This window comes from Homo sapiens, chromosome 3, assembly GCF_000001405.40.
Source record: "Homo sapiens chromosome 3, GRCh38.p14 Primary Assembly".
In the NCBI taxonomy this organism is placed as follows: domain Eukaryota; kingdom Metazoa; phylum Chordata; class Mammalia; order Primates; family Hominidae; genus Homo; species Homo sapiens.
Window position 1 is genome coordinate 78,261,444 of NC_000003.12, and position 7,468 is coordinate 78,268,911.

Below are 7,468 nucleotides of genomic sequence, written 5' to 3' on the forward strand. Positions count from 1 at the left end.
AATTGCCAAATAATAGATAAACTGCTGTGCATGTTAATTTATTTGCTAAAGATATATATTTAAAAACTAGTAATTCTATTGTTTCATTAGTATTCACAAAGTATTTCAAGAGATGAAAATATACTGGCAATTTTTTGTTTCATTTAATCCATAAAAATAGGGCATATATTAGCATGCCATATTAATCTTTTAATGGAAAATAAAGATGAATATGTATCTTCAACAAAAGCTATTCAGATACCTCATCAAAAGAAAAAAGTCAGGGGTAGAACAGGTAACTAGAAACTATATCTTATATAATTTCCCTGAAACTACAAATTACATATGTTAAAGAAATAATGATGAAAATATTTTTAATATAAGATTTTATATAACAACATTTTAAAGTACCATAATACTAGAATTCTGTTGGGGTTAATTTGTTGATCTCTATGCCTAAGCAAAAATTAATTTTTTTATTTTTTATTGATACAAAATATTTCATTTATTTACAGGGTACACGTGAGTATTTATTACACACATAGCATGTACAGTGATCAAATTAGGGTCATCCTTTAGTAGTTATCATTTCTCTGTGTTGGTAACATTACAAATCTTCTCTCCTAGCTGCTTCAAATCATATAATATATTGTTGCTAACTATAGCTGCCGTTCTCTGATATGGGATATTGGAGCTTTTTTTTCTATCTAACTGTAAGTTTGTACCCAATAACCAACATCACTTTGCCTGCCCACCCACCCCACTCCCCACCTAGCACCCTTCTCAGCCTCAGGTTTCTGTCATACTATTCTCCATCTGCATGAGATCAACGGTTTTAGCTCCTGCATATGACCGAGAAAATGTATTTGTCATTCTGTACCTGGACTATTTCACTCACCATAATGACTTCCAGTTCCATCCATGTTGCTTAAAATGATAGGATTTTGTTATTTTTATGGCCAAATACTATTCTATTATGTGTATATCACATTTTCTTTATCCATTCATCCATCAATGGACACTTAGGTTGATTCCAAATCTTGGCTACTGTGAATAGTACTGTGTTGAACATGTGAGTTCAGGTATCTCTGATATACAGATGTTTTTTCCTTTGGATAAATACCCAGCAATGGGTTTTCTGGATTGAATTGTAGCTCCATTTTTAGTTTTTTGATAAATCACCATACTATTTTCCATGGTGGCTGTACTAATGTATATTCCAGTCAACAGTGTAAAAGAGTTTCCTTTCTCCACATCTTCACCAGCATCTCTTTCTTTCTTTTCTTTTCTTTTCTTTTTTCTTTCTTTCTTTCTTTCTTTCTTTCTTTCTTTCTTTCTTTCTTTCTTTCTTTCTTTCTTTCTCTTTCTCTCTTTCCTTCTTTCCTTCTTTCTTTCTTTGTCTTTTTGATTATAGCCATTCTAACAGGCTAGTCAGAATATCTCATTGTGGTTTTTATTTACATTTTCATGATGATTAGTGATGCTGAGCATTTTTTCATATAACTGTTGGCTATTCGTATGTCTTCTTTTGAGCAACATCTATTCATATCCATAGCCCACTTCTAACAGGATTATTTGTTTTTTATTGTTGAGAAGTTTGAGTTCCTTGTATATTTTGGATATTAGTCTCATGTTGGATGAAGACTTAGCAAATACTTTCTCCCATTCCATAGGTTGTCCCTTCATCTGTAGATTGTTTCCTTTGCTGCATAGAAGCTTTTTAGTTTAGTACAGTCCCAGTTATCTATTTTTGTTATGGTTATTTGTGTTTTTGAGGTCTTAGCCATAAAATCTTTAACTAAGCGAATATCTTAAAAGTATTTTTCCTATTTTTTTCTAGTAGTTTTATAGCATTGAGTCTTACATTTAAGTCTCTTATCTATTTTGAGTTGATTTTGTATATGGGGAGAGATAAGGGTCCAATTTCATTCTTCTGCATATGGATATATACAGTTTTCCCAGTAACTTTGATTGAAGAGAGTAGTTTCTCCCTACTGCATGTTTTTGGCACCTTTGTCAAAAATCAGTTGGCTGTAAGTACTTGAATATTTCTAGACTCTCTATTCTGTTACATTGGTCTATGCATCTGTTTTTATGCCAGTGTCATGATGTTTGGGTTACTACAGCCTTGCAATATATTTTGGTGTCAGGTAGTGTGATGCTTCCAGCTTTGTTCTCTCTCTTTTCCTCAGGATTCCTTTGACTATTCACGCTCTTTTGGGGTCTATACAAATTTTCAGTTTGTTTTTGCTAATTCTGTGAGTAATAATGTCGGTATTTTTATTGGGATTGCGTTGAATTGCTAGACTGCTTTGGAACGTATAGTCATTTTAACAATATTAATTCTTCCAATCACTGAGCACAGGATGTCTTTTCATTTCTTTTTGTCCTCAATTTATTTTATTTGTGTTTTGTAGTTTTCCTTGTAGAGATCTTTTACCTCCTTGGTTACATTTATTCCTATGTAATTTTTATAGATATTTTAAGTGGGATTGAATTCTTGATTACTTTCTCAACTAGTTCATAATTGGTATACAGAAACACTACTCAATTTTGTATGTTGATTTTATATCCTGCAACTTTACTGAATTTATTGATCAAATCTAAGAGTTGTTGGTGAAGTCTTCGGGTTTTTCTCGATATAAGATTATATGATCAGCAAAAAAAAAAAATTTACTTATTTTCCAATTTGAAAGCCTTTCATTTTTTTTTTCTTCCCCAATTGCTCCAGCAGTATGTTGAAAAGAAGTGGTGAAAACAGGCATTCTTGTCTTGTTCCAGATCTTAGAGGAAAGGCTTTCAGGTTTTTCCCATTCTGTACGATGTTAGCCCTGAGTTTGTCATGTATGACCTTTATTTTGTTGAGGTATGTTTCCTCTATGCCTAATTTGTTGACAGTTTCTCTTATGGAGGGAATAATTTTATAAAATGCTTTCTTTGCATCTATTGAGATGATCGTATCATTTTGGTCCTTCATATGGAAATCACATTTATTGTGTATGTGGAATCATCCTTGCATGCCTGGTATAAATCCCACCTGGTCATGGTGTATTAGCTTTTTAATTTGTTCTTGAATTTGATTTGCTAGTATTTTCTTGAGGACTTTTGCATCTATGTTCATCAAGTATATTGTTCTGTAGTTTCATTTTTGTTGTTGTTGTATTCTTGTCTACTATTGGTGTGAGGGTAATGCTGACCTCATACAATTTTTTAAGAAGAGTTTCCTGTCTTTAACAGTTTCAGGAGTATTGGTATTAGTTCTTCCTTTTATATTGGTAGAATTCAGCTGTGAATTCATCTGGTCCTGGGCTTTTCTTTGTTGGTAGACTTTTTATTACTATTCAATCTCACTACACAAAATTGGTCTGTTCGGGTTTTCTATTTCTTCTCATTTAATTTCAGCAGGTTGTATGTTTCCTGGAATTTATCCATTTTCTCTAGGTTTTCCAGTGTGTTAGTATATAGTTGTTTATAGTAGTCACTGATAATCTTTTCTGTTTCTCTGGTGCCAGTTGTAATGTCTCCTTTTCCATTTCTGAATTTTTTTATTTGGCTCTTCTTTTCTTGGTTAGTCTATCTAATGGTTTATCCATTTTGTTTATCTTTTCAAAAGATAAAATGCTCATTTCATTGTTTTTTATTGTTTTTCTGTCTTTATATTACTTGGTTTCTCTCTGATCTTATTTCTTTCCTTCTGCTAATTTTGCATTTCATTTGTTCTTGCTTTGCTAGTTCCTTGAGGTCCATTGTTAAGTTGTTTATTTGAAATATTTCTACTTTTCTGATGTAGGCATTTATTGGTATGAAATTTCCTCTTAGCATTGCTTTTTCTGTATCTCACAGGTTTTGGTATATTGTGTTTCCATTTTCATTTGTTTAGAGAAATTTTTGATCTGCATCTTAATTTCTTCATTGACCCAGTTATCATTTAGGAGCATGTTGCTTAATTTCTATGTATTTCTATAATTCTCAAGGTTCCTTTTAGTGTTGATGTCTAGTTTTATTCTATCGTGATTATGAGAGATATGCTATATGATTTCAATTTAAAAAAATTTTTTTGAGACTTCTTTTGTAACCTACCATATGGTTTATCTTGGAGGATGTTTCATGTACTAATGACAAGAATGTATATTCTTCTGTGTTGCAGTATGATGTTCTGTAAATGTCTGTTAAGTCCATTTTGTCTGAAGTACAATTTAAATCCAATGATTCTTTGTTGGTTTTCTGTCTAGATGATCTGTCTAATGCAGAGAATGAGATGTTGAAGTCCCCCACTATTATTGTACTGGAGTCTGTCTCTTTGGATTCAGTAATAATTGTTTTATGAATATGAGTACTCCAATTTCAGTGCATATATATTTAGAATTGCTGTGTCTTTTTCCTCTTCCTTTTCCTGCTATGTCCTTTTATCATTATGTAAGGATCTTCTTTGTTTTTGTTTTGTTTTAATTTTTTTCACTTAGTTTCTTTTATCTGATATAAGCATAGCTATGTGTGCTCATTTTGGTTTCTGTTTGTATGGAATACCTTTTTCCATCCCTTTTCTTTGAGTCTATATGTATCTTTACAAATAAAGTGTGATTCTTGTAGGCAGCATGTAGTTGGATCATGTTTCTTATCCATTCAGCCAGTCTGTGTATTGTAAGTGGAGAATTTAATCCATTTATAGTCAAGGTTATTTTTGATATGTGAAGTCTTGTTTGTGTGATATTGTTAATTGTTTTCTGGTTATTTTATATATTCTTTGTTCCTTTTTCTCCTCCTTCTGATTGTCATTGTGGTTTGGTGGTTTTCTACAATGTTATCATCTGAGATTTTTTATCTTCCTAATTTATGTGTTTGGTTAACCAATAAGTTTTTTACTTTTGTGTGTTTTCATGATGGTAAGTGGCCTCTTTTAACAGGTTAAGGACTCCCTTGTGGATTTCTTGTAAGATCAGACTAGTAGAGATTAATTCCCTCACTTTGCTTCTCTGGGAAGGCTTTCTTTCTCCTTCATTTATGAAGAATAATTTGCAGTATATGGTATCCTCGTATGGCAGGTTTTCCTTTTCCTTTTTTTTTTCTTTCATCATTTTGCATATGTCATCCCATTTCTTCCTGGCCTGTAAGGTTTATGCTGAGAAATCCACTCTTAGTCTGATGGTGAGGGAAGAGAGAGACCCTCTTATATTGTTTTATATTGTTTTATACTCAGTACCTGTTTTAAGGAAAAAAACAAGGAAGTGAAACCAAAGGCAGGCAGCCTGGCGCCAGGCCCGAAACCAGGCCTGGGCCTGCCTGGCCTAAACCTACTAGTTAAAATTCAACTCATGACTTAGCAACTGATGTTATCCATAGATTCCAGACATTGTATGTAAGAACATTGTGAAACTCCCAGCTCTGTTCTGTTTCACTCTGACCACCAGTGCATGAAGCCCCTGTCACATACCCCCTAGATTGCTCAATCAATCACAACCCTTTCATGTGAAATCTTTAGTGTTGTGAGCCCTTAAAAGGGACAGAAATTTTGCACTCGGGGAGCTCAGATTTTAAGACAGTAGCTTGCTGATGCTCCCAGCTGAATAAAGCCCTTCCTTCTACAACTCGGTGTCTGAGGGGTTTTGTCTGCAGCTCGTCCTGCTACAATGGTGGTTCCTTTATAGGTGATTAGATGCTTTTCTATTGCTAGCTTTAGAATCCTTTCTTTATCTTTGACTTTAGACCGTTTGACTATAATGTGCTGTGGTGAGGACCTTTTTGCATGTATCTGTTTGGAGATCATTGAGCATTCTGTATTTTAATGTCAAAGTCTCCTATTAGACTAAGAAAGTATTCATCCATTACTTTTTTCAATAGGTTTTCTAGCCCTTTTGCTCTCTCTTTGCACATAGGGGCACCAATAATTCAGCTGTTCAGTTGCTTTTTGTTTTCCCAAATGTCACAAAAGCTTTGCTTATTCATTTTATTATTTTTAAAAAATTTTGCCCAACTGTTTTACTCCAAAAGACCAGTCTCCAAGTTCTGAAATCCTTTCTTTTGCTAGACCTAGCAGTTGTTGAAGTTTTCTAATGTGTTTTGCATTTTGTTAAATAAAGTGTTCAGTTCCAGAATTTGTTTGGTTCTTTTTAAAAATATTTATATTTTTTGTAAATTTCTCATTTATAACTTGAATTGTTTTTCTGTTTTCTCTGTGTTGGTTTTTAGAATTCTCTTGTATCTTGTCTAGCTTTTTAAAAATCAATATTTTAAGTTCTGTGAATTTTGTGATTTCTTTTTGATTGAAGATACATTGCTACAGAATTATCTAGTGTTTCTTTGGAGGTATCATATTTCTTTGCTTTTTTGTGTATTCTGTGTCCTTACATTTATATCTATGCATTTGGTGTACCAGTCACTTCTTTCAATTTTTAAAATTTTGTTGCACTGGGGAGGATTTTTCCCTAAAGATGTACAGATATTGTTGGGTGGCTTGGACACTTTGGCTTTTATTGTGGGTGCATGCAGTAGAGTAGACTCTGTATGATTTATTTGGCTGTAAACAGTATCAGTGGTATCTGTGATTTCCTCAGTGGCTTAGGGTATGGTTATTAGAGAAGGCTGTGGTGAAGTTTTGCTGGGGACTAAGATGCCAGATGGGCCGATCTTCAGGCCCCAGTAGTAGCAGCATTGGGCTGAGCATGCCTGTCCTTGAGCCCCAGAGCAGTATGTACTGGCTTCCATGTTAGCAGGTATAGGTGGGCCAATTCTTGGGCCTCTAAGTGACTTCCTTGGATGATGGTAGTGGCAGTAGTGGAATGAGTGTATGGGCAAGTTCTCACATCCTTTGGTGTTGGGCGTGATGTGGGTGATGGTAGTAGCAGTGGTAGGACAACCTACTGGAACCCAAGTGGCTTATGCTGGTGGTGGCGGTGGCTGCAACAGGGTTGGACAGGCCAGTCCCCTGACCCACAGGGATGCATGTGAGTGAGTGCCAGCTATGGTGGCATTGGCAAGTTGGTTCAGACTGACCTCAGACTCCAAGAGAGATGTTCAAATGCCAACAGTGGTGGACTAAGCTGAGTGATCCTCAGGCCCCTGGATGGCATGATCAAGTACTGGTAGGATGAACTGGGCTGGTGAACTTGTCCTCAAGCTCTTTGGTAGTACATTCAGGCTCTGGCTGTAATAAGCAGAGGCAGGGTGGTCCCTGGGCCACTAGCATAATGCTCAGATGAGCAGTGAAGCAGCTGTGCTACATCACGGAGGGCAGAGGGACAATCTCATCGGCAGCACCATAGGTAGGCAGCTCTAGGAGGCATGGTTTGCTTGTGGCTCAGTCCCACAGCAGCCCACAGAAGTAGTGCTGGCATTTGTCCTCAGGGTATATGGATTTGCCCAACATTCCCTCTCCCTTATTGGCCCAGTAGCTGCAGTGGCATCATCAGCCCCAGGGCAGGACACATTTCTTTGAGGGCTGGGCTCTCAGAATGCTGCTAGCTGCAGGTCTGTCACCCAGGTGGGTGGGGCC

At 35.7% G+C, this 7,468-nt stretch overlaps 1 annotated feature.

The window, feature by feature from the left end:
• Nucleotides 4,503-5,702: an enhancer, noted in NCBI's record as "BRD4-independent group 4 enhancer chr3:78315096-78316295 (GRCh37/hg19 assembly coordinates)". NCBI's record gives its function as "activates an origin of replication core promoter dependent on BRD2, P300/CBP, MED14 and CDK7 cofactors, and independent of BRD4, by STARR-seq in HCT116 cells {active_cell/tissue: HCT116}" and the evidence as "EXISTENCE:reporter gene assay evidence [ECO:0000049][PMID:35650434]".